Source organism: Homo sapiens, chromosome 21 (assembly GCF_000001405.40).
Source record: "Homo sapiens chromosome 21, GRCh38.p14 Primary Assembly".
NCBI classification, from domain to species: Eukaryota; Metazoa; Chordata; class Mammalia; order Primates; family Hominidae; genus Homo; species Homo sapiens.
Genome location: NC_000021.9, coordinates 8432894 through 8458949, shown reverse-complemented (window position 1 = coordinate 8458949; position 26056 = coordinate 8432894). Strand labels below are relative to the sequence as shown.

The following is a 26056-nucleotide window of genomic DNA, read 5'->3' as shown; positions in this document are numbered from 1 at the left end:
GGCCAACGTGGAGAAACCCCGTCTCTACTAAAAATAGAACGATGAGCCGGCCGTCATGGTGCGCACCTGTAATCCCAGCTACCGAAGAAGAATCACTGGAACCCGGGAAGCAGAGGTTTCAGTGAGCCGAGAGAGCGCCACCGCACCGCAGCCTGGGTGACAGAGCGAGAGAGACTCAGTCCAAAAAAAAAGAAAGAAAAGAAGAAGAAGAAAAAAAGAACGGGCCCAAATACTGCATTGTCGCTGAACGTTCTCCCAAAAGGCCAGAAACCCCCTGACTCAGGTCAAGGAGGTGGTGGTTGGTTTTACTTCTCTTTCTCTCTCTCTCTCTCTCTCTCTCTCTCTCTCTCTCTCTCTCTCTCTCCCCCCCCCTCTCCCCCCTCTCTCCCCGTCTCTCTCTCTCTCTCCTCTCTTCTCCCCCCCGAACTTTTATTTGTCGTTCAAGCATACATGAGCAAGACTGTGACATAGGTAAACTTGTGACGGGGGTGTTCAGTGTGCAGATGATTTCATCACCCGGGTAGTCAGTGCTGTGTCCGACAGTATTCGTGTTTTGTTTTCTTCCTGAAGCTGTCTCTCCTTCCACCCCTCCTCCCTCAAGCAGGCTTCCGCGTCCCCGGTCCCCCTCGTTCTGCCCATGCAAGAACTGTCATCTGTAAGTTCCCACTTCTAGATGAGAACACGCGGTATTTAGCCGATCTTTGCTTTCATCTTCGGTGGTGGCGGTGAAAGAGGCATGACACTAAATCGACCCTTAGGACGCCGTTTATGTTGAAGTCGAGGAGCTTATCGGGGAAATAGGAGAAGTACGGACGCCACACGTGACCGAGAGAAAAGTCTGAAAATGCCCCTCGCATCCAAGCGGGGACCCGGCCTCGACCTCCCGAAATCATACACCGAGTGGGGAAGCCCAGCAAGGCCCGCCTGTCTAGATTCCTCTCGGCCTCTCTAAGCACCGAAGCACGCGCTTCTCACTTTCGTGGAAGGGGCAGGGCCCTACCCGGCACGGGGGTGTCTGACAGACTGACAGAGAAAGAGACAGACATAGAAAGACAGAGATGGACAGCGAGAGATAGAGAGAAACAGACAGACAGGGAGAGAGAGAGAGAGAGAGAGAGAGAGAGAAACAGACAGGGAGGGAGAAAGACAAATAGAGAGAGAGACAGACAGACACACAGAAAGACAGAGACAGAGAGAAACAGACAGAAAGAGAGAGAGACGGAGAGACAGTGAGTGAGAGAGAGAGAGAGAGAGACATGGAGGGAGAGAGACAGACAGACAGACAGAGAGGCAGGCAGAGAAAGAGAGTAAGACAGAAGACCGACACAGTGAGAGAGAAAGGCAGAGAGAGAGAGAGAGAGAGAGAGAGAGAGAGAGAGAGAGAGAGACAGAGAGAGACAGAGAGAGACAGAGAGAAAGAAAGAGAGAGAAAGAGAAAGAGACAGACAGAAATGGACAGAGAGAGAAACAGACAGACAGGGAGGGAGGGACGGAGACAGGCAGAGAGAGAGAGAGAGAGAGAGAGAGAGAGAGACAGGCAGTCAGCCAGAGAAAGAGAGTAAGACAGAAGATAGGCACAGACAGAGAGACAGGCACAGAGAGAGACAGAGAGACAGAGAAAAAGAAAGAGAGAGACAGACAGACAGAGAAAGAGACAGACAGAGAGAGAAAGAGAGAAACAGACAGAAAGAGAGAGAGAGAGAGAGAGAAACAGAAAGGGAGGGAGAGAGAGGGAGAGACAGACAGACAGACGGACAGGCAGAGAAGGAGAGTAAGACAGAAGACAGACACACACAGTGAGAGAGACAGACAGAGAGAGAGAGAGAGAGAGAGGCAGAGACAGAGACACACACACAGTGAGAGAGACAGACAGAGAGAGAGAGAGAGAGGCAGAGACAGAGACAGGGAGAAAGAGAGAGACAGACAGAGAAAGACAGAGATGGACAGAGAGACAGAGAGAAACAGATAGAAAGAGAGAGACAGAGAGAGAGAGAGGCAGAGGCAGAGACAGAGACAGGGAGAAAGAGAGAGACGGACAGAGAAAGACAGAGATGGACAGAGAGACAGAGAGAAACAGACAGAAAGAGAGAGAGACAGAGAGAGAGAGAGACAGACAGACAGACAGGCAGGCAGAGAAACAGAGTAAGACAGAAGATAGGCACAGAGAGAGAGAGACAGAGAGACGCAGAAAAAGAAAGAGAGAGGCAGACAGAGAAAGACGGAGACAGGCAGAGAGAAACAGACAGAAAGAGAGAGAGAGAGAGAGAGAAAGAGACAGGAAGGGAGAGAGAGAGACAGACAGACAGAGAAAGAGAATAAGACAGAAGACAGACACAGTGAGACAGGCAGAGAGAGAGAGACAGAGAGAGAGAGACAGAGACGGAGACAGAGAGAAGGAGACAGACAGACAGAGAAAGAGACAGACAGAGAAAGACAGAGACAGACAGAGAGAGAAAGAGAAACAGGCAGAGAGAGAGAGAGAGAGAGAGAGAGAGCGAGAGAGAAACAGAAAGGGAGGGAGAGAGAGAGAGACAGACAGACAGACGGACAGGCAGAGAAGGAGAGTAAGACAGAGGACAGACACAGTGAGAGAGACAAGCAGAGAGAGAGAGAGAGACAGAGACAGAGACAGACAGAAAGAAAGAGAGAGACAGACAGAAAAAGACAGAGACGGACAGAGAGAGACAGAGAAACAGAGAGAAAGAGAGAAAGACAGAGAGAGCGAGAGAGGGAGAGAGAGAGGGAGAGAGAGAGAGAAACAGAAAGGCAGGGAGAGAGACAGAGAGAGACAGACAGACAGACAGGCAGGCAGGCAGAGAAAGAGAGTAAGACAGAAGATAGGCACAGAGAGAGAGACAGAGAGACACAGAAAGAGAAAGAAAGAGAGAGGCAGACAGACAGAGAAAGACAGAGACAGAGAGAGAGAGAGGAACAGACAGAAAGAGAGAGGGACAGAGAGAGAGAGAGACAGAAAGGGAGAGAGAGACAGACAGACAGACAGACAGACGGACAGGCAGAGAAGGAGAGTAAGACAGAAGATACACACAGAGAGTGAGAGACAGAAAGAGAGAGAGAGAGAGAGAGAGAGAGAGAGACAGACAGACAGAGAGAACGAAAGAGACAGACAGAGAGAGAGAGAGATGGACAGAGAGAGACAGTGAGAAACAGACAGAAAGAGAGAGAGACGGAGAGAAACAGACAGGGAGAGGGGGAGAGAGAGAGAGAGAGAGAGAGAAACAGAAAGGGAGGGAGAGACAGACAGACAGGCAGAGAAAGAGAGTAAGACAGAAGATAGGCACAGAGAGAGAGAGAGAGAGACAGACAGACAGACAGAGAGAGAGAGACCGACAGAGAGACACAGAAAAAGAAAGAGAGAGGCAGACAGACAGAGAAAGAGACAGACAGAGAAAGACATAGACAGACAGAGAGAGACAGAAACAGACAGAAAGAGAGAGAGAGAAACAGACAGGGAGGGAGAGAGAGAAACAAACAGGGAGGGAGAGAGAGAGAGAGAGACAGACGGGGAGAGAAAGAGAGTAAGACAGAAGACAGACACAGTGAGACAGGCAGAGAGGGAGAGAGAGAGACAAAGACAGAGACAGAGACAGAGAGAAAGAAAGAGACAGACAGACAGAGAAAGAGACACAGAGAGAAAGACAGAGACGAACAGAGAGAAACAGACAGAGAGAAGGCCCTAGCCCAGTAGCAATACAGTGCCTTTTCTTTCATTTTCTCTTTCTTTTCTTTTCTTTTTTTCTTTCTTGTATATCTGTATGCATGGATGTATGTATGTATGTATGTATGTATGTATGTATGTATGTATGTGTGTATTTATTTATGTACGTATTTATCTGGAGACCGGGTCTCACTCTGTCGCCCAGGCTGTAGTGCAGTGGTGCGATCTTGGGTCACTGCAGCCTCCGCCTGCCAGGTTCAAGCAATTCTTCCACCCCAGCCTCCCGAGTAGCTGGGGTTACAGGTGCCTGCCCCACGGCGCCTGACTCCATTTCGTATTTTCAGTAGAGACGGGGGTTTCACCACGTTGGCCGGGCTGGTCTCGAACTCCTGACCTCGGGATGACAGACGTGAGCCACTGCGTTCAGTGTACAGTGCCATTTCTTAGAAATCACTCCTCACGGGAACACACACTTAGAGGTGACGTGTAGAGATTTTATTTATTTAGTTAGTTTAGTTAGTTAGTTAGTTTGTTAGTTAGTTATTATGTGCGCGGGGAGGTGGGGGGACGGAGTTTGGCTCTTGCTGCCCAGGCTACAGTGCAATGGCCTAGGGGACTCAAGGAGTCAACCTACGGCAGAGAGGACACGTCATTCTGAGCGTAAGGGCCACAGCGAAAGGTGGCAGGGCCCGCGCTTTTAAAGGCTGAAATCCCGGCGGCTCAGGCCTGTCGTTTCCAGCACTTTGGGAGGCCCAGGAAGGCGGATCATTTGAGGTCAGGAGTTCGAGACCAGCGTGGCCAACGTGGAGAAACCCCGTCTCTACTGAAAATAGGAATATGAGCCGGCCGTCATGGTGTGCGCCTGTAATCCCAGCTACCGAAGAAGAATCACTGGAACCCGGGAAGCAGAGGTTTCAGTGAGCCGAGAGAGCGCCACCGCACCGCAGCCTGGGTGACAGAGCGAGAGAGACTCAGTCCAAAAAAAAAGAAAGAAAAGAAGAAGAAAAAAAAAGAACGGGCCCAAATACTGCATTGTCGCTGAACGTTCTCCCAAAAGGCCAGAAACCCCCTGACTCAGGTCAAGGAGGTGGTGTTTCGTTTTCTCTCTCCCTCCTCTCTCTCTCTCTCTGTCTCTCTCTGTCTCTCTCTCTCTCTCTCTCTCCTCTCTTCTCCCCCCTAACTTTTATTTGTCGTTCAAGCATACATGTGCAAGATTGTGACATAGGTAAACTTGTGACGGGGGTGTTCAGTGTGCAGATGATTTCATCACCCGGGTAGTCAGTGCTGTGTCCGACAGTATTCGTGTTTTGTTTTCTTCCTGAAGCTGTCTCTCCTTCCACCCCTCCTCCCTCAAGCAGACTTCCGCGTCCCCGGTCCCCCTCGTTCTGCCCATGCAAGAACTGTCATCTGTAAGTTCCCACTTCTAGATGAGAACACGCGGTATTTAGCCGATCCTTGCTGTCATCTTCGGTGGTGGTGGTGGTGGTGAAAGAGGCATGACACTAAATCGACCCTTAGGACGCTCCCCTCCGTCCCCACCCCGCACCCCCTCCCCACACACACCCTCATTCCCGCACCCCCTCCTCAAACGCAAGAAAGGAAGAAATGAAAGTAAGAGGTGAGCCTGCAAGGCGGTGGAGGCGGGGGATCTCAGAGGGCGAGCAAGCGATGGCGGTCGGGGGATGTGTCGGCTGAGGTATCAAAAATAGGGGACCCAGTTTTCAGCCCCAACACACCCCCTAATCCTCAGCCGCAGCCAGCCTCTGGGTGGGGTTGCGCCTGTCAAAGCTTCCGAATGGAGAGAAGCCCAAGGCTACGGAAGGCATCAGCTCCAACTCCAGGAAGGGAATAAGGCTCTGTGCATACGAATGGGGCTTTGAAAGGCGTTGCCGCGGCTTCCAAAGCGATGCGCTGTGCCTCGCCTCGCCTCGCCCCGCCCAGAGCGAGACTCCGTCTGAAAATAAGTACACAAATAAATCATAAGATAATTCATCAAGAAAGAAAGAAAGAAAGAAAGAAAGAAAGAAAGAAAGAAAGGATCAGTAGAGCGATGGTGGTCGTGAGTCATTCCCCGGAGTCCAGGCGCAGTGGCTCACGCCCGTCACGCCAGCACTTTGAGACGCCGGGCAGGAGGGTTGCAAAGAAATGATGAGACCCCGTCTGTGGGAAAACATTTAAAAATGAAGGCCGGGCGCGGTGGCTCACGCCTGTCATCCCAGCACTTCCGGAGGCCGGGGAGGGCGGATCACCTGAGGTCGGGAGTTCGAAACCAGCCCGATCGACATGGAGAAGCCCCGTCTCCACTAAAAATACGAAATCAGCCAGACGTGGCAGCGCATGCCCGCAATCCCGGCTACTCAGGAGGCCGATGCAGGAGAATCGCTTGAAACCGGGAGGCAGAGGTTGCGGTGAGCCAAGATCGCGCCACCGCACTGCAGTCTAGGCCACGAGAGTGAAACTCTGTCTCGGGGGAAAAAAAAACAATTAAAAACGGTGTGGGCACAGTGGCGCGTGCCCGCGGTCCCAGGCTCTGTACTCTGGAGGCTGAGGTGGAAGGATCGCTCGAGTCCAGGAGCGTCCACGCTGCAGGGAGTGAGTTACGACGGCACCACTGCCGGGGTGACGGAGCGAGATGCCGTCTCTAAATCAGTCAATGAGATCACTGGAAGGCGCTCTCTGCGTCTCACTTTCCAAGAGGGTCTCTTTGGGCCAAGCAGGCATGGTGCCTCCCGCCAGTCATCCCAGCACTTTGGGAGGCTGAGGCGGGAGGAAAGAAGGAAGGGAGGAAGGGAGGAAAGAAGAAAAGAAGAAAGGCAGGAAGGCAGGAAAGAAAGAGGGGAAGAGAGAAAAAGAAAAAGAAAGAAAGAAAGAAAGAAAGAAAGAAAGAAAAGAGAAGCAAAAAGAAGAAAAGAGAAGGGAAGAAAAGAAAAGCAAACGGGGAAGGGGCATATCTCCTTGACCGGTGACTGCCCAGGATACAGTGGGTCACGGCCGACCGAAGCCTCGACCTGTGGGGCCTCAAGTGATCTTCTCCTCGTCTCAGCCTCCCGAGTAGCCGCGACTACAGGCGGCCATCACCGCGCACAACTCATCTTATAATAACATCATGATTCTCTCGAGACGGGGTCTCGCTCCGTCATCCAGGCCGCATCGCCACGGCACGATCTCAGCTCATCGCAACCTCGGCCTCCCCGGTTGGAACAAGTCGCCCGCCCCAGTCTCCCGAGCGGTCGTGATTCCAAGCCCACGCCACCAGGCCCGGCTAATCGTTCTATTTTTCAGAGAGACGGGGTTTCGCCACGTCGGCCAGCCTGGTCTCGAACTCCCGGCCCCAAGCGATCCACCCGCCTCGGCCTCCCAAAGTGCCGGAGTGACAGGCGTGAGCTAGCGTGCCCGGCCCAGATCATCTTTTTCATCAATTGTAGAGAAGGGGTTTCGTCAGCCAACGGGTGGAGGGTGGGGCGGGTTTTACTCAGCCTGCGTACTGTGAAAAGGGGAAGTGAGTGTGCTCTGTGAACTAGATATGGAAATTGTGTGTGTGTGTGCGCGCGTGCGCGTGCGAGAGAGAGAGAGAGAGAGAGAGAGAGAGAGACCAATCCCACCACGAGGACCCGGAAATAGTGTTTGATCTGTGTCCCTGCCTAGTCACCTGTCTTGTGTGTCGATGACTGAGGATTCCACAAATGAAGGTCAGCGGTATCTATTGAGCTGTTTCTCCCTCTCGTGCGTCTCATCTGTGTGCTGGAGAAAGGGAAGAGAAGAGGTTCCGATGGGAAGTTGTCTTCACGCCTGAGGCAGCTGAAGGCAGACCGAAGGGAAGGAGGGCATCCTAGGTGACATTTCCATACCCACGCACCCTTTACAATGCTGGGGCTGCCAGTCCACCCTGTACGTCAACCCACCCCCAAGAACAGCACGGTCCGGGGTGGTCCAGTCTGATCCCAACCGGCCCACCCGGGGCATCCGGTGGAAGTCTTCGCCGGAGGATCCGAAGGCAGCATCAACGCGGTTCCCCTGGGGTCGCCCGGCAAAGGCCAGCCGGGGGAGGGTAGCGGGACGTGACGGGGGGGTGGGGGTCGCATCCGCCTCAGAGCTCCCTGGAAGGTGGCAGGTAGCCGGTGGGGCACGCCGAGCCAGAGACGTCCGGCAGGATATAGATCTGGAAGGCGTGTCAGTCCTCTCCCATACCTCTCCTATGGAAAATGCCAGGGCGGCGGTGGGAGCCTCGGCTGGGGGAGAAGCGGGGACAAGGGGGAGAGGGAAGGAGGCCCTCGGGAGGTTTCGGCACCGAAAACCCACTCAGCCAAGCTCCCTCCGTGTTTCCGGGTCCAAGGTACACCCCGGGAGACGGCAAGAGAAACGTTCACACCGTGCTTTCCGTCTTCGTGTTTATTTCTTTCATCTTTTCCATTTTACGAGAGATGCTCATTTCAACAACCAGACGGCGGATGTGACGGGAGAAGCGTCAAGGCCAGGAGTTTGAGACCAGCGTGAGCAACAGAGCAACACACGTAGGAGAGCCCAGCTGAAAGAAATGAAAGAGGAGGAGGAGGAGGAGGAGGAGGAGGAGGAGGAGGAGGAGGAGGAGGACGACGACAAGGGGGGGTGGGGGGGGAGGAGAAGGAAAGAAAAGAAAAGAAAAAAAAGAAAAAGGAAAACAACCACCACCAAGAAAGTTAAGATTCTCCAACGGTCGGAAGTTGAAGACCAGCCTGACCAAGATGGAGAAACCCCATCTGTAGTAAAAATAGAAAAATTAGCCGGGCACGATGGCTCATCTCTGTCATTCCAGCTACTCGGGAAGGCTGAGGCAGGAGAATCACTTGAACCTGGGAGGCGGAGGGTGCGGTGAGCCGAGAGCCGCCATCGTACTCCACCCTGGGCGACAAGAGTGAAACTCCGTCTAAAGAGAATAAAAAGAAAGAACGAAAAGGCGGATCGGTGAGATGCGTCTGGAAATTTTCTTCGTTCGCAGTCCCCGTATTAAAAACGGAAAGAACCGACCCACGACAAACACGACCAGAGCGTACCGTGCCCACGCGTGTCATCACAGCACTCCGGGAGGCCGATGCGGGAGGATCTCTGGAGCCTAAAAGTTCGAGATCACCTCGACACGTGAGATGACGCCTACAATAATAATAATCATAGAAGTTTGAAAAGAGACCACGTGTGCCCAGAGCATGGACAATAAAGCGAGAGCACATCCGTACTAAAAAGAAGACGATTGATAGGCAGGCAGGCAGGCAGGCAGGCAGGCAGGCAGGCAGGCAGGCAGGCAAATGTAGAAGGAGCCAGGCGCAGCGTCTCACGCCTGTAATAGCAGCAGTGTGGGCGGCCGAGGCAGGCAGGCGGATTGCTTGAGGACAGGAGTTCGAGACCAGCGTGGGCAACATGATAGAACCCCGAAACCCATCTCACTCACATACATACATACATACATAGATACACACACACACACACACACACACACACACACACACACACACACACACATACCTACCTACGGAAAACATGAGAAACAACATAAAAGTCAGCCGGTGTGGTGGTGCGCGCCTGTAGTCTCAGGTAATGGGGATGGGAGGGATCAGAGGCAGAACGACCGTTTGGTCGGTCCAAAGCGTTGAGGTTGGGGTGATCCTGGGCGGCAGAGACAGAGGAAGACCCTGCCAGTAAGGGAGGGAAGGAAGGAAGGAAGGAGGGAAGGAAGGAAGGAAGGAAGGAAGGAAGGAAGGAAGGAAATAAACAGGCAAGCAGGCAAGCAAACGATGAACGTGACAATGACACAGAAGAACCCATGAGAATAAACGAGCAAATAACAGGGTATGAATGAAGCTAAAAGGCAATTGAGATCGCAATCAATCGTTTTCTCTGCACCCCACCCCACCGCAGCCCACGTAAGCTGGAGTGGAAGTGTGCGATCACAGCCCACGTTAACCTCTCCCTCCCGGGCTTAAGAGATCCCTGTAGTCCCAGCTATTTGGGAGGCTGAGGTCACCAGAGCGCAGAGACAGAAGACCAGGCGGGCCGGCCCCAAAAGAAAAGAAAATAAATAAACGAAAATTATTAATAAATAATGAATGAAGGAAGGGAGGAAGGATATACATACACGTGTATGTAAATGAAATGGGGCTTCGATACATATTCATCCATTAAAAGTAACATAATATAAACGTATTAATTATGGAAATATCATTTACATAGTTTTATCACTACGGGGGGTGTGTGTGTGTGTGTGTGTGTGTGTGTGTGTGTGTGTGTGTGTGTGTGTGTGTGTATGTGTAGATGTATGTTCATACACGGCAGCGTTCAGAAAATAAGATTGAAAAAAGGAAGGAATCGGCCGGGCATGGTGGCTCACATCTGTACTCCCAGCAGTCTTTGGGAGGCCGAGGCGGGCGGATCACTAGGTCGGGAGTTCGAGACCAGCCCGGCCAAAATGGTGAAATTACGTCTTTACTCGAAATAGAAAACTTGCTGTTTGCTTGAACCGTGGAGGCAGAGGCAGCAGCAGCAGCGAGCCGAGAAGGCACCAAGGAGGGAGGGAGGGGAGAGAGACAGAGAGAGAGAGAGAGAGAGAGAAAGAAAGAAAGAAAGAAAGAAAGAAAGAAAAGAAAGAAAGAAAGAAAGAAAGAAAGAAAGAAAGAAAACGCAAGGCAAAACCAAAAAGCAAAAAAGGAGGAAGCATTACTGGCTGACGGCAGCAGTGACTCCCTCTTAAAAGTCCCGCGGACGCAAACTCGCAGTGGGGCTGAAAAAAATGTAGAAGAGGGAGTTCCGCGTGGTCCCAGCTCCACCGCGGGCCGAGGCCGGTGGAGGTCGCCGGCGCGTGAACCGGAATCGACGCCCTCGCGTCGGTGCGCCGCAGCGTCCGGCGGCCGCCTGCTGGTCGACCCGGGACACGTGCAGACGCCAGCTAAGTCCGGAGCTCGCGGGCGGCAGCTGGTCGACCCCGGAGGTGCCGACCGAGACGGGGACGCGGCGGGTCCGGCTCGTCCCGACGGGCACTCTTACACGCCGCTCGGTGGAGAAGGCCCGCCGGTCGACCCGGGACACGGCGAGACAGCGGCTAAGTGTCAAGAGCCGAGAAGGCACCAAGGAAGGGGAGAGAGGGAGGGAGGGGGAGGGAGAGAGAGAGAGAGAGAGAGAGAGAGAGAGAGAGAGAGAGAGAGAGAGAGAGACAGAGAGAGACAGAGAGAAAGAGAGAGAGAGAGAGGGCGAGAGCGAGAGACAGAGAGAGAGAGAGAGAGAGAGAGAGAAAGAGAAAGAGAAAGAAAACGAGCGAGGGAGAGAGCGAGAGAGCGAGAGCGAGAAAGAAAGAAAGAAAGAAAGAAAGAAAGAAAGAAAGAAAGAAAGAAAGAAAAAAAAAAAAAAAAAAAAAAGGCAAGACAAAACCTAAAAGCAAAAAAGGAGGAAGCATTACTGGCTGACGGCAGCAGTGACTCCCTCTTAAAAGTCCCGCGGACGCAAACTCGCGGTGGGGCTGAAAAAAATGTAGAAGAGGGAGTTCCGCGTGGTCCCAGCTCCACCGCGGGCCGAGGCCGGTGGAGGTCGCCGGCGCGTGAACCGGAATCGACGCCCTCGCGTCGGTGCGCCGCAGCGTCCGGCGGCCGCCTGCTGGTCGACCCGGGACACGTGCAGACGCCAGCTAAGTCCGGAGCTCGCGGGCGGCAGCTGGTCGACCCCGGAGGTGCCGACCGAGACGGGGACGCGGCGGGTCCGGCTCGTCCCGACGGGCACTCTTACACGCCGCTCGGTGGAGAAGGCCCGCCGGTCGACCCGGGACACGGCGAGACAGCGGCTAAGTGTCAAGAGCCGAGAAGGCACCAAGGAAGGGGAGAGAGGGAGGGAGGGGGAGGGAGAGAGAGAGAGAGAGAGAGAGAGAGAGAGAGAGAGAGAGAGAGAGAGAGAGACAGAGAGAGACAGAGAGAAAGAGAGAGAGAGAGAGGGCGAGAGCGAGAGACAGAGAGAGAGAGAGAGAGAGAGAGAGAAAGAGAAAGAGAAAGAAAACGAGAGAGGGAGAGAGCGAGAGAGCGAGAGCGGCAAAGAAAGAAAGAAAGAAAGAAAGAAAGAAAGAAAGAAAGAAAGAAAGAAGAAAAAAAAAAAAAAAAAAAGGCAAGACAAAACCTAAAAGCAAAAAAGGAGGAAGCATTACTGGCTGACGGCAGCAGTGACTCCCTCTTAAAAGTCCCGCGGACGCAAACTCGCGGTGGGGCTGAAAAAAATGTGAGAGAGGGAGTTCCGCGTGGTCCCAGCTCCACCGCGGGCCGAGGCCGGTGGAGGTCGCGGGCGCGCGAACGGGAATCGACGCCCTCGCGTCGGTGCGCCGCAGCGTCCGGCGGCCGCCTGCTGGTCGACCCGGGACACGTGCAGGCGCCGGCTAAGTCCGGAGCTCGCGGGCGGCAGCTGGTCGACCCCGGAGGTGCCGACCGAGACGGGGACGCTCCGGTTGCGGTTCGTCCCGACGGGCACTCCTACACGCCGCTCGGTGGAGAAGGCCCGCCGGTCGACCCGGGACACGGCGAGACGCCGGCTGAGTCTCACGCCCGCGGGCGGCAGGCGGTCGACCCCGGAGGCCCGACCGAGGAGAGGTCACGAGCGGAGGTCGGCCGGGTGCGCGGACGCCCCGTGGGGCCTCGCCGCCCGCCGCCCACCACCCGCGGTCTGCTGGTCGACCCGTGCGGAGGAGCGAGGAGGAAGGACGCGCGAGGGCCGGGACCCCGGGTGGCCGCCCCACCGGGGCCCGCGCGGCCAACCCCCGGGACGGGGACCGGCGGGCCACGGGCCCGGCTCGGCGCGGCCGCCTCCGCGGCTCCCAAACCACGCTCCCCGGACCCCGTCCCGGCCCGGAGCGGACGAGCCGCCCCGGCGGTGAACGGGGAGGAGGCGGGAACCGAAGAAGCGGGGCGCGCCGACCGGGGTCGCGCGCCCTCCCCCCCACCCCCACCACCACGCCCGCGGTCGGCGGGAGAGGCCGGGAGGGAGGAAGACGAACGGAAGGACGGACGGCGCCGGACGCGCACGCCCCGCCGGGCCCCCCGCACGCACGCGCGCGCGCGCGCGCGGACAAACCCTTGTGTCGAGGGCTGACTTTCAATAGATCGCAGCGAGGGAGCTGCTCTGCTACGTACGAAACCCCGACCCAGAAGCAGGTCGTCTACGAATGGTTTAGCGCCAGGTTCCCCACGAACGTGCGGTGCGTGACGGGCGAGGGGGCGGCCGCCTTTCCAGCCGCGCCCCGTTTCCCAGGACGAAGGGCACTCCGCACCGGACCCCGGTCCCGGCGCGCGGCGGGGCACGCGCCCTCCCGCGCGCGCGGGGCGCGTGGAGGGGGGGGCGGCCCGCCGGCGGGGACAGGCGGGGGACCGGCTATCCGAGGCCAACCGAGGCTCCGCGGCGCTGCCGTATCGTTCCGCCTGGGCGGGATTCTGACTTAGAGGCGTTCAGTCATAATCCCACAGATGGTAGCTTCGCCCCATTGGCTCCTCAGCCAAGCACATACACCAAATGTCTGAACCTGCGGTTCCTCTCGTACTGAGCAGGATTACCATGGCAACAACACATCATCAGTAGGGTAAAACTAACCTGTCTCACGACGGTCTAAACCCAGCTCACGTTCCCTATTAGTGGGTGAACAATCCAACGCTTGGTGAATTCTGCTTCACAATGATAGGAAGAGCCGACATCGAAGGATCAAAAAGCGACGTCGCTATGAACGCTTGGCCGCCACAAGCCAGTTATCCCTGTGGTAACTTTTCTGACACCTCCTGCTTAAAACCCAAAAGGTCAGAAGGATCGTGAGGCCCCGCTTTCACGGTCTGTATTCGTACTGAAAATCAAGATCAAGCGAGCTTTTGCCCTTCTGCTCCACGGGAGGTTTCTGTCCTCCCTGAGCTCGCCTTAGGACACCTGCGTTACCGTTTGACAGGTGTACCGCCCCAGTCAAACTCCCCACCTGGCACTGTCCCCGGAGCGGGTCGCGCCCGGCCGGCGCGCGGCCGGGCGCTTGGCGCCAGAAGCGAGAGCCCCTCGGGGCTCGCCCCCCCGCCTCACCGGGTCAGTGAAAAAACGATCAGAGTAGTGGTATTTCACCGGCGGCCCGCAGGGCCGGCGGACCCCGCCCCGGGCCCCTCGCGGGGACACCGGGGGGGCGCCGGGGGCCTCCCACTTATTCTACACCTCTCATGTCTCTTCACCGTGCCAGACTAGAGTCAAGCTCAACAGGGTCTTCTTTCCCCGCTGATTCCGCCAAGCCCGTTCCCTTGGCTGTGGTTTCGCTGGATAGTAGGTAGGGACAGTGGGAATCTCGTTCATCCATTCATGCGCGTCACTAATTAGATGACGAGGCATTTGGCTACCTTAAGAGAGTCATAGTTACTCCCGCCGTTTACCCGCGCTTCATTGAATTTCTTCACTTTGACATTCAGAGCACTGGGCAGAAATCACATCGCGTCAACACCCGCCGCGGGCCTTCGCGATGCTTTGTTTTAATTAAACAGTCGGATTCCCCTGGTCCGCACCAGTTCTAAGTCGGCTGCTAGGCGCCGGCCGAGGCGAGGCGCCGCGCGGAACCGCGGCCCCGGGGGCGGACCCGGCGGGGGGGACCGGCCCGCGGCCCCTCCGCCGCCCGCCGCCGCCGCCGCGCGCCGAGGAGGAGGGGGGAACGGGGGGCGGACGGGGCCGGGGGGGTAGGGCGGGGGGACGAACCGCCCCGCCCCGCCGCCCGCCGACCGCCGCCGCCCGACCGCTCCCCGCCCCCAGCGGACGCGCGCGCGACGAGACGTGGGGTGGGGGGGGGGGCGCGCCGGCGCCCGCCGGGCTCCCCGGGGGCGGCCGCGACGCCCGCCGCAGCTGGGGCGATCCACGGGAAGGGCCCGGCTCGCGTCCAGAGTCGCCGCCGCCGCCGGCCCCCCGGGTGCCCGGGCCCCCCTCGCGGGGGACCGTGCCCCCGCCGCCGGGGCCCCGCGGCGGGCCGCCGCCGGCCCCTGCCGCCCCGACCCTTCTCCCCCCGCCGCCGCCCCCACGCGGCGCTCCCCCGGGGAGGGGGGAGGACGGGGAGCGGGGGAGAGAGAGAGAGAGAGGGCGCGGGGCGGGGAGGGAGCGAGCGGCGCGCGCGGGGTGGGGCGGGGGAGGGCCGCGAGGGGGGTGCCCCGGGCGTGGGGGGGGCGGCGGCGCCTCGTCCAGCCGCGGCGCGCGCCCAGCCCCGCTTCGCGCCCCAGCCCGACCGACCCAGCCCTTAGAGCCAATCCTTATCCCGAAGTTACGGATCCGGCTTGCCGACTTCCCTTACCTACATTGTTCCAACATGCCAGAGGCTGTTCACCTTGGAGACCTGCTGCGGATATGGGTACGGCCCGGCGCGAGATTTACACCCTCTCCCCCGGATTTTCAAGGGCCAGCGAGAGCTCACCGGACGCCGCCGGAACCGCGACGCTTTCCAAGGCACGGGCCCCTCTCTCGGGGCGAACCCATTCCAGGGCGCCCTGCCCTTCACAAAGAAAAGAGAACTCTCCCCGGGGCTCCCGCCGGCTTCTCCGGGATCGGTCGCGTTACCGCACTGGACGCCTCGCGGCGCCCATCTCCGCCACTCCGGATTCGGGGATCTGAACCCGACTCCCTTTCGATCGGCCGAGGGCAACGGAGGCCATCGCCCGTCCCTTCGGAACGGCGCTCGCCCATCTCTCAGGACCGACTGACCCATGTTCAACTGCTGTTCACATGGAACCCTTCTCCACTTCGGCCTTCAAAGTTCTCGTTTGAATATTTGCTACTACCACCAAGATCTGCACCTGCGGCGGCTCCACCCGGGCCCGCGCCCTAGGCTTCAAGGCTCACCGCAGCGGCCCTCCTACTCGTCGCGGCGTAGCGTCCGCGGGGCTCCGGGGGCGGGGAGCGGGGCGTGGGCGGGAGGAGGGGAGGAGGCGTGGGGGGGGGGGCGGGGGAAGGACCCCACACCCCCGCCGCCGCCGCCGCCGCCGCCCTCCGACGCACACCACACGCGCGCGCGCGCGCGCCGCCCCCGCCGCTCCCGTCCACTCTCGACTGCCGGCGACGGCCGGGTATGGGCCCGACGCTCCAGCGCCATCCATTTTCAGGGCTAGTTGATTCGGCAGGTGAGTTGTTACACACTCCTTAGCGGATTCCGACTTCCATGGCCACCGTCCTGCTGTCTATATCAACCAACACCTTTTCTGGGGTCTGATGAGCGTCGGCATCGGGCGCCTTAACCCGGCGTTCGGTTCATCCCGCAGCGCCAGTTCTGCTTACCAAAAGTGGCCCACTAGGCACTCGCATTCCACGCCCGGCTCCACGCCAGCGAGCCGGGCTTCTTACCCATTTAAAGTTTGAGAATAGGTTGAGATCGTTTCGGCCCCAAGACCTCTAATCATTCGCTTTACCGGATAAAACTGCGTGGCGGGGGTGCGTCGGGTCTGCGAGAGCGCCAGCTATCCTGAGGGAAACTTCGGAGGGAACCAGCTACTAGATGGTTCGATTAGTCTTTCGCCCCTATACCCAGGTCGGACGACCGATTTGCACGTCAGGACCGCTACGGACCTCCACCAGAGTTTCCTCTGGCTTCGCCCTGCCCAGGCATAGTTCACCATCTTTCGGGTCCTAACACGTGCGCTCGTGCTCCACCTCCCCGGCGCGGCGGGCGAGACGGGCCGGTGGTGCGCCCTCGGCGGACTGGAGAGGCCTCGGGATCCCACCTCGGCCGGCGAGCGCGCCGGCCTTCACCTTCATTGCGCCACGGCGGCTTTCGTGCGAGCCCCCGACTCGCGCACGTGTTAGACTCCTTGGTCCGTGTTTCAAGACGGGTCGGGTGGGTAGCCGACGTCGCCGCCGACCCCGTGCGCTCGCTCCGCCGTCCCCCTCTTCGGGGGACGCGCGCGTGGCCCCGAGAGAACCTCCCCCGGGCCCGACGGCGCGACCCGCCCGGGGCGCACTGGGGACAGTCCGCCCCGCCCCCCGACCCGCGCGCGGCACCCCCCCCGTCGCCGGGGCGGGGGCGCGGGGAGGAGGGGTGGGAGAGCGGTCGCGCCGTGGGAGGGGTGGCCCGGCCCCCCCACGAGGAGACGCCGGCGCGCCCCCGCGGGGGAGACCCCCCTCGCGGGGGATTCCCCGCGGGGGTGGGCGCCGGGAGGGGGGAGAGCGCGGCGACGGGTCTCGCTCCCTCGGCCCCGGGATTCGGCGAGTGCTGCTGCCGGGGGGGCTGTAACACTCGGGGGGGGTTTCGGTCCCGCCGCCGCCGCCGCCGCCGCCACCGCCGCCGCCGCCGCCGCCCCGACCCGCGCGCCCTCCCGAGGGAGGACGCGGGGCCGGGGGGCGGAGACGGGGGAGGAGGAGGACGGACGGACGGACGGACGGGGCCCCCCGAGCCACCTTCCCCGCCGGGCCTTCCCAGCCGTCCCGGAGCCGGTCGCGGCGCACCGCCGCGGTGGAAATGCGCCCGGCGGCGGCCGGTCGCCGGTCGGGGGACGGTCCCCCGCCGACCCCACCCCCGGCCCCGCCCGCCCACCCCCGCACCCGCCGGAGCCCGCCCCCTCCGGGGAGGAGGAGGAGGGGCGGCGGGGGAAGGGAGGGCGGGTGGAGGGGTCGGGAGGAACGGGGGGCGGGAAAGATCCGCCGGGCCGCCGACACGGCCGGACCCGCCGCCGGGTTGAATCCTCCGGGCGGACTGCGCGGACCCCACCCGTTTACCTCTTAACGGTTTCACGCCCTCTTGAACTCTCTCTTCAAAGTTCTTTTCAACTTTCCCTTACGGTACTTGTTGACTATCGGTCTCGTGCCGGTATTTAGCCTTAGATGGAGTTTACCACCCGCTTTGGGCTGCATTCCCAAGCAACCCGACTCCGGGAAGACCCGGGCCCGGCGCGCCGGGGGCCGCTACCGGCCTCACACCGTCCACGGGCTGGGCCTCGATCAGAAGGACTTGGGCCCCCCACGAGCGGCGCCGGGGAGCGGGTCTTCCGTACGCCACATGTCCCGCGCCCCGCCGCGGGGCGGGGATTCGGCGCTGGGCTCTTCCCTGTTCACTCGCCGTTACTGAGGGAATCCTGGTTAGTTTCTTCTCCTCCGCTGACTAATATGCTTAAATTCAGCGGGTCGCCACGTCTGATCTGAGGTCGCGTCTCGGAGGGGGACGGGCCGCTCGGCGGACGGACGGACGGAATCGCGCCGGCCCGACCGCCCGCCCGACGCTCCGTCGGGAGACGGGCCCGGCGAGGGGGAGAGGCGACGGGAGAGAGAGCGCGCGGCCGGCGGCACCCCCGCGCCGCCCCGCCGGAGCGGGACGACCGGAGGGAGGGGCACGGGCCGGGGGCGGGACGGGCGCCGCACGCCCCGACCCGTCTCCCCCGCGGAGGTCGGGGGGACGGGTCCGAGGACGCGGCGGCGGAGCCGCCCCGCCCCGACGCGGAAGCTCGGGACGGGGCCCCGGCGCGGCGCGGCGCGGCCGCGAGCCGGAGGCGGGCGCGCGACGGCGGACGACACCGCGGCGTCCCGCGGGTCGCCGCCGGGGACACGCGAACCCCGGCGCCGCGGCCACGGGCGCGGCCGGGCGGGCCGCGGGGCGGGCTCCCGGCCCCGGCCGACGCGCCGCGAGGCGAGCCGGGCGGGCGGGCGCGCGTACGCGCGGGGAGGGCGAGGAGGACGGGCGGGGCCTCGGAGGAGGGGCGGCGGGGAGGAGGAGGGGCGCGGGAGCGGCGGTCGGCCGGACGCCGGGCCGCCACCGGGGGCGGGCGGCGAACCGCGGCGACCGGGACGCGCTCCCCCGACCCTCTCTCCCCGCCGGCACCCTTCCCCTTCCGGACCCGCCTTCCTCCTCCCCCACCACCACACCGCACGCAACACGCCCCCACCGCCGACGACGCGCGACGACGACGACGACGACGGGCACGGGACCTTCCACCCGGCCGGGGCCGACGAACCCCGAACCCCGAGCCGCGCGCGGCGCGAGGGAGCCCCCCGAGGGAGGAACCCGGACCGCAGGCGGCGGCCACGGGAACTCGGCCCGAGCCGGCTCTCTCTTTCCCTCTCCGTCTTCGCGGGCGGCGGCGGCGCCGCCCTCCCCGTCTCTCTCAGCCGGGCGCGCCCCCCTCTCCCCCCCGCCACCCGACGCGTGACCACGCAGGGCCCGCGGGGGGAGGGGGAAGGGGCGGGCGCGGCGGCAAGAGGAGGGCGGACGCCGCCGGGTCTGCGCTTAGGGGGACGGAGGGCCCCCGGCGGGCCCTGCGAGGGAACCCCCAGCCGCGCACCCCGAGGAGCCCGGAGGCACCCCCGGGGGCGATTGATCGGCAAGCGACGCTCAGACAGGCGTAGCCCCGGGAGGAACCCGGGGCCGCAAGTGCGTTCGAAGTGTCGATGATCAATGTGTCCTGCAATTCACATTAATTCTCGCAGCTAGCTGCGTTCTTCATCGACGCACGAGCCGAGTGATCCACCGCTAAGAGTCGTACGAGGTCGATTTGGCGAGGGCGCTCCCGACGACGCACCGGGAGGAGGCCCTTCCTGGCGCGGCACGTCCCCCCCCCCCCCGCCCAAGAGGAGAGGGGGTTGCCTCAGGCCGGCCAGACGAGACAGCAAACGGGACCGGACTCCGGAGAGGGGTCGGAAGGTTTCACACCACGGGGAGGCGCGCGCCGCCCACGCGGGGGCGAGCGCGGACACCACCCCACAGGCGCCCGGGGGTTCCCGCCCCCACGGCGCGGGGCGCACGCCACACGCGCGGCAGGCGCGCGACGGCCGCCGGGTAAAGCCCCCACCCGACGGCCGCCGCGGCGGCGGCGGCGGCGCGGCCCCGGCCGGGGAGCGGAGTCCGCGGTGGAGGCGCGGGAGGGGCCGGGCCCCTCCCGACGGGACTCCCCCGCGGGCCCACCACCGCCCCCGACCCACGGGCGGACGGGCGATCCCCCCAAGGGGTCTTTAAACCTCCGCGCCGGAACGCGCTAGGTACCTGGACGGCGGGGGGGCGGACGAGGAGGCGGGGGAGGGGACCGGCGTCCGGCCCCCGACCCTCGAGACGCCCTAGCGGGAAGGCCGGGGAGAGCGAGCGGGGCCGTGCCCGGCGGCGCGGAGCGGCGCGGCGGAGGCGACGGGAATCCGGCCGGCCCCGAAGACGGGGAGCCGGCGCGGCGGGGCCGGACGACGGGCCCCGGCGGGGAGGAGGGCACCGAGACCCCCCCAGACCCGCCGCGACGCCGCCGAGAACCGCCCCCGCGCCCGCCGACACCCACGTCGTCGGGGCCGCGGCCGGGGACCGCTCCCCGCCGCCCGCCGGCCCCACGACACGCGCACACCAACGACACGCCCTTCTTTCTCTTTCTCTCTCTCTCTCTCTCTCCCCCGTCTCCCTCCCGAGTTCTCCGGCTCTCGCGGCCGGCGGGGCCGGGCGGCGAACGAACGAGCGAGCGAACGAACGGGCACGCGGGCCCCGCCCGCGCACGCGCCGCGTCGCGGTGGGGGGGTGGGTGTGCGGAGGGAAGCGCGCGGCGGCGGCGGCGCCGCCGCGGGCCTCGCCCTCCGGGCTCCGTTAATGATCCTTCCGCAGGTTCACCTACGGAAACCTTGTTACGACTTTTACTTCCTCTAGATAGTCAAGTTCGACCGTCTTCTCAGCGCTCCGCCAGGGCCGTGGGCCGACCCCGGCGGGGCCGATCCGAGGGCCTCACTAAACCATCCAATCGGTAGTAGCGACGGGCGGTGTGTACAAAGGGCAGGGACTTAATCAACGCAAGCTTATGACCCGCACTTACTGGGAATTCCTCGTTCATGGGGAATAATTGCAATCCCCGATCCCCATCACGAATGGGGTTCAACGGGTTACCCGCGCCTGCCGGCGTAGGGTAGGCACACGCTGAGCCAGTCAGTGTAGCGCGCGTGCAGCCCCGGACATCTAAGGGCATCACAGACCTGTTATTGCTCAATCTCGGGTGGCTGAACGCCACTTGTCCCTCTAAGAAGTTGGGGGACGCCGACCGCTCGGGGGTCGCGTAACTAGTTAGCATGCCAGAGTCTCGTTCGTTATCGGAATTAACCAGACAAATCGCTCCACCAACTAAGAACGGCCATGCACCACCACCCACGGAATCGAGAAAGAGCTATCAATCTGTCAATCCTGTCCGTGTCCGGGCCGGGTGAGGTTTCCCGTGTTGAGTCAAATTAAGCCGCAGGCTCCACTCCTGGTGGTGCCCTTCCGTCAATTCCTTTAAGTTTCAGCTTTGCAACCATACTCCCCCCGGAACCCAAAGACTTTGGTTTCCCGGAAGCTGCCCGGCGGGTCATGGGAATAACGCCGCCGCATCGCCGGTCGGCATCGTTTATGGTCGGAACTACGACGGTATCTGATCGTCTTCGAACCTCCGACTTTCGTTCTTGATTAATGAAAACATTCTTGGCAAATGCTTTCGCTCTGGTCCGTCTTGCGCCGGTCCAAGAATTTCACCTCTAGCGGCGCAATACGAATGCCCCCGGCCGTCCCTCTTAATCATGGCCTCAGTTCCGAAAACCAACAAAATAGAACCGCGGTCCTATTCCATTATTCCTAGCTGCGGTATCCAGGCGGCTCGGGCCTGCTTTGAACACTCTAATTTTTTCAAAGTAAACGCTTCGGGCCCCGCGGGACACTCAGCTAAGAGCATCGAGGGGGCGCCGAGAGGCAAGGGGCGGGGACGGGCGGTGGCTCGCCTCGCGGCGGACCGCCCGCCCGCTCCCAAGATCCAACTACGAGCTTTTTAACTGCAGCAACTTTAATATACGCTATTGGAGCTGGAATTACCGCGGCTGCTGGCACCAGACTTGCCCTCCAATGGATCCTCGTTAAAGGATTTAAAGTGGACTCATTCCAATTACAGGGCCTCGAAAGAGTCCTGTATTGTTATTTTTCGTCACTACCTCCCCGGGTCGGGAGTGGGTAATTTGCGCGCCTGCTGCCTTCCTTGGATGTGGTAGCCGTTTCTCAGGCTCCCTCTCCGGAATCGAACCCTGATTCCCCGTCACCCGTGGTCACCATGGTAGGCACGGCGACTACCATCGAAAGTTGATAGGGCAGACGTTCGAATGGGTCGTCGCCGCCACGGGGGGCGTGCGATCGGCCCGAGGTTATCTAGAGTCACCAAAGCCGCCGGCGCCCGCCCCCCGGCCGGGGCCGGAGAGGGGCTGACCGGGTTGGTTTTGATCTGATAAATGCACGCATCCCCCCCGCGAAGGGGGTCAGCGCCCGTCGGCATGTATTAGCTCTAGAATTACCACAGTTATCCAAGTAGGAGAGGAGCGAGCGACCAAAGGAACCATAACTGATTTAATGAGCCATTCGCAGTTTCACTGTACCGGCCGTGCGTACTCAGACATGCATGGCTTAATCTTTGAGACAAGCATATGCTACTGGCAGGATCAACCAGGTAGGTAAGGTAGAGCGCGGCGAGGCCCCGACGCGGCCGGACGGCCGGCCGGGGGGCCTCGCGAGGACGGGCCCGGCGCCCCGCAAGCGAGGAGGACGACGGACGGACGGACGGGCCGCGGACGGGCGGACGGGAGGGAGCGAGCGGGCGCGGGGGCGGCGGCCGGGACCGGTGGGGCCGGGGCGGGGCGCGGCGAACCGGACGCCCCAACCACCCGCCCCCCACGCGACACGACCACCGGGGCCCCGCGCCACAGACCCGCGACGCTTCTTCGTCGCGCCCGCCCGCGAGGAGGCGGACGGCCCGACCCGCGCCCGGCGGCCGGGAGGGACCGGCGGCCACGCGCGCGCGCGCGCGGCCGGCGCCCGCGGGCGGCGGCGAGGCGGGGACGGCGCTCCGCCCGCCCCGCGGGGCGGCCCCGACGTCCGGGCGGCGAGCGAGAGGCGGACCGCGGTGCCCGGCCCGGGGACAGTCGCGCCGTGCGGCCGCAGCGCCCGCGCACCGGTCCGGTCGAGGGCCCGGGGCCCGGCCGAAGCCCGGCTCCGAGCCCCGCCGGCGGGCGCGGGCGCAGGGGTGGCACACGCCACACGACGGCCAAGGGAGGGCCGACCGAGGCCGGCCGGCGCGCCCGCCCCCGCCCGGGACGGGGGACCGCGACCGGGGCCGAGGCCCCGGCCCGGGCCCCACCCCCCGACCCGGGGAAAGGGCGAGCGACCGGCAAGGCGGAGGTCGACCCACGCCACACGTCGCACGAACGCCTGTCCGGCAGGGACCACCGGGCCGCGCTCGGGCGCACGCGCGCGCCGAACGGGGCGACGCCACGCGGGGAGGACGGGCTCTCCCCGACGCCGACGCCCGGGACGGACGCCTCGGGGAAGGGCCGCGGCAGGCCCGGGAAGCGAGGCGCACCCGGGGGACGCGCCGACCCGGTTCGGAAGAGCGGGCCGGGAGAAGACGAGAGACCACGGGCGAGGCCGGGGCGACGGGGAAGGCGCGAGAAAGGCGGCCGGCGGGGAAGGGGACGCCACGGGGACCCCTCGAGCGCGGCCGACCGCGGCCGGGACACACGCGCGGGGCCTCACCGCCGCCGGCGGCACCGCGCGGCACCCGGGGCGGCCGACCGGCCCTCGGCGATCCCCGCGGCTGCCCCCACCACCGCCGCCGCAGTCGCGGCCGGTCCCCCGGAACCGTCTCCTCCCCCGCACGCGCCGCAGGCCGACCCCCGGAACCCTCCGGGAAGCCCACCGGGCCCCACGCGGGGCGCCACCGACCCGGTCCCCAAGGCGCGCGCCGGGGGACGCGGACGCCGGGCCGATCAGTGGCCGGCGGCGGCGCCCCACGAGGCGGTGCCGGGTTCGGTCCCAGGCGGGGCCACCAACGGACGTGAAGCCGGTGAGCCGCTCGGGGGGAAGAAGAGGATCGGCGGGCGGCGGGCGGGGAAGAGGGCACAGACGGGCGAGGGCCGGGGACCGCGAGGGCAAGGGCACCCGGGAGCCCGCAGAGGCGGCGGCTCGGGGAGAAACCTCAGGCACGGCCGGGCCACCAGGAAAACACGGCCGCGGGATCCCACCGCCACAGACACGAGGGCGGTCCCGCGGCGCCCCGCCTGGGACGCCGGACGGCCCTCGGCCCCCACCGAGAACCGCCTCGCGAGCCCCGGGGCCCCGCCACCGGGGGCCCCGGAGCGACCGCAGCCACGAACCCGACACGCCCGCACCACCGTCGCTCGTGATTCTCGTCCATCCTCCGACCCGGTCCCGCTCCGGGAGACCGGCGCGCCCCCACCGTGGGACGCTTTCCCAGGGCCAGGCGGGCCCGACCCCGTGCCACGCAAACGCGGTCGTCGGCACCGGTCACGACTCGGCACGGGAGCGGGCGGAGAGCCGACTCGCGGCGGAGGGGGTCACGCGCCGGACAGAGCGCCGGGCGCGCACACCCACCGCCCGCCGGCCGCCGCGTCCCAACCCGCTGGGAACGCCGGGCCCGGCCCGGCGGGATCCTCCCCCGACTCGGAAGGGGGAGGCGCGGGCCACAGTAGGCGACGAGCCGCACTCGGCCACCACCGCGGTGGCCGGCGGAACCCTCGCTTCTCCCCCCCAACCCCGTCGAGGGGGAAGCGGAGGAGGGTCCTCTGCGAGCGGGTCGCTACGGCAGCGCTACCATAACGGAGGCAGAGACAGAGGCGGCGGCCCGGGGGATCCGGTACCCCCAAGGCACGCCTCTCAGATCGCTAGAGAAGGCTTTTCTCACCGAGGGTGGGTCACACTCCCCCCACCCGCCAGCCGCTCCTCCTCGGGCCCGCAGAGGCGCCGAGGGACGCCTGGGGAAGGGAGGGGGCCCTGCGGTACGAGGAAACACCTGCGCGCGGCCACCTCGAGCGTTCGCGTTCAGGGCGGGGGCCCGGCCGGTGCGCGCGTGCGCGCAACCCCACCAGGCCCCCCCGTCCACCCACCTCCTTCCTTCCGAGGCAGAGCGCCTCCGAAGTCAACCCACACACGACCGGTCGGAGGCAGAACGGCAGCCCCTCGGCGGCCGGCCGGCGCACGCGTCACACCGGCCCGAACCCACCGCGATCGCTCACACGGCCCGCGCGCACCCGCCAGAGGGGAGCACGGGACGTGCGCTCACCGAGAGCAGGCGGGCGCCCTTCCCCGCGTGGGAGGGGCGCGTCTCGTCTCGTCTCACTCAAACCGCCTCGAACCCCACACCGACGAGCTCCCTCAGGACCCACGCGCGGACACCGCGGCGGCGACCGGAGGAGGGGGCGCCGGGGGCGGGAACGACACACCACCGTTCGGCCTCGGGCACCTGAGGGACAACCCGGAGCGCTCCAGGAGCACCGCAAGGGCCCAGGCGGAGCCGACGCTCGCGCAAACCCCCCGAGAGGGCAGCACGACGGGCCGGCGGGACGGCACCCCCACCGCCGCGGAGGGGGGCCGCCCGCAAGTCGACAACCACTGGAGGCGACAGCGAGGGCTGTCTGCCGCGTCAGAGGACCCCGCCGGCCCGCCCCGCGACGCAGAAGGCGGCGGGCGGGACGGCGAGGTCGGGCCGGGGTCCGCACCCCACGCCTTCCCACACGCACCGCCGGCGGGCGGGGAGAGGAGAGACGAGGGGACCCCCGCGGGGCGGAGCGAGAAGGACGGTCCCGTTCGCCACGAACGTCCGCCCCTCGCCCGTCGCGGCTCGGACCCGGCCCGGGAGAGCACGACGTCACCACATCGATCACGAAGAGCCCCCCGGGAGCGGAGGCCGGCCGGCCGGCCAGCGAGCCGATCGGCTCCGGCCAACCCCCCACTCCGGGGAAGGGGCGGCGGACAACCCCGCGGAGACGAGAACGCCTGACACGCACGGCACGGAGCCAGCGGGGTGGGGTTGTCGCGGCCGCCCCGGGCGCCCGCAGCGGAGAGCGCACGGGGGCACGGTGGCCCTCGCCGCCTTCCCCGCCGCCCCCGGGTGGGTCAGAGACCCGGACCCGGGCCGGCACCGGGAGTCGGGACGCTCGGACGCGCGAGAGAACAGCAGGCCCGCGGGCCCCGGCAGGCGGCTCAAGCAGGAGCGCGGCCGGCTAGCCGGGTCACCGGTAGGCCAGAGCCCCGCGCGCATCCGGAGGCCCAACCTCTCCAGCGACAGGTCGCCAGAGGACAGCGTGTCAGCAATAACCCGGCGGCCCAAAATGCCGACTCGGAGCGAAAGATATACCTCCCCCGGGGCCGGGAGGTCGCGTCACCGACCACGCCGCCGGCCCAGGCGACGCGCGACACGGACACCTGTCCCCAAAAACGCCACCATCGCAGCCACACACGGAGCGCCCGGGGCCCTCTGGTCAACCCCAGGACACACGCGGGAGCAGCGCCGGGCCGGGGACGCCCTCCCGGCCGCCCGTGCCACACGCAGGGGGCCGGCCCGTGTCTCCAGAGCGGGAGCCGGAAGCATTTTCGGCCGGCCCCTCCTACGACCGGGACACACGAGGGACCGAAGGCCG

The 26056-nt window shown here is 63.7% G+C and overlaps 5 non-coding genes across 5 annotated transcripts; all 5 read right to left on the bottom strand.

Moving 5' to 3' along the window:
* Positions 1–12377: 12377 nt before the first annotated feature.
* RNA45SN1 (RNA, 45S pre-ribosomal N1) lies at positions 12378–25728 on the bottom strand. Its single transcript, NR_145819.1, has one exon. It is a non-coding gene; the product is annotated as an RNA, 45S pre-ribosomal N1 (ribosomal RNA).
* Positions 12739–17804, bottom strand: RNA28SN1 (RNA, 28S ribosomal N1). The gene has a single exon (NR_145822.1). It is a non-coding gene; the product is annotated as an RNA, 28S ribosomal RNA N1 (ribosomal RNA).
* On the bottom strand, positions 18972–19128 carry RNA5-8SN1 (RNA, 5.8S ribosomal N1). Its single transcript, NR_145821.1, has one exon. It is a non-coding gene; the product is annotated as an RNA, 5.8S ribosomal RNA N1 (ribosomal RNA).
* On the bottom strand, positions 20206–22074 carry RNA18SN1 (RNA, 18S ribosomal N1). The gene has a single exon (NR_145820.1). It is a non-coding gene; the product is annotated as an RNA, 18S ribosomal RNA N1 (ribosomal RNA).
* Positions 22576–22626, bottom strand: MIR10396B (microRNA 10396b). The gene has a single exon (NR_162111.1). It is a non-coding gene; the product is annotated as a microRNA 10396b (primary transcript).
* Positions 25729–26056: the final 328 nt, after the last annotated feature.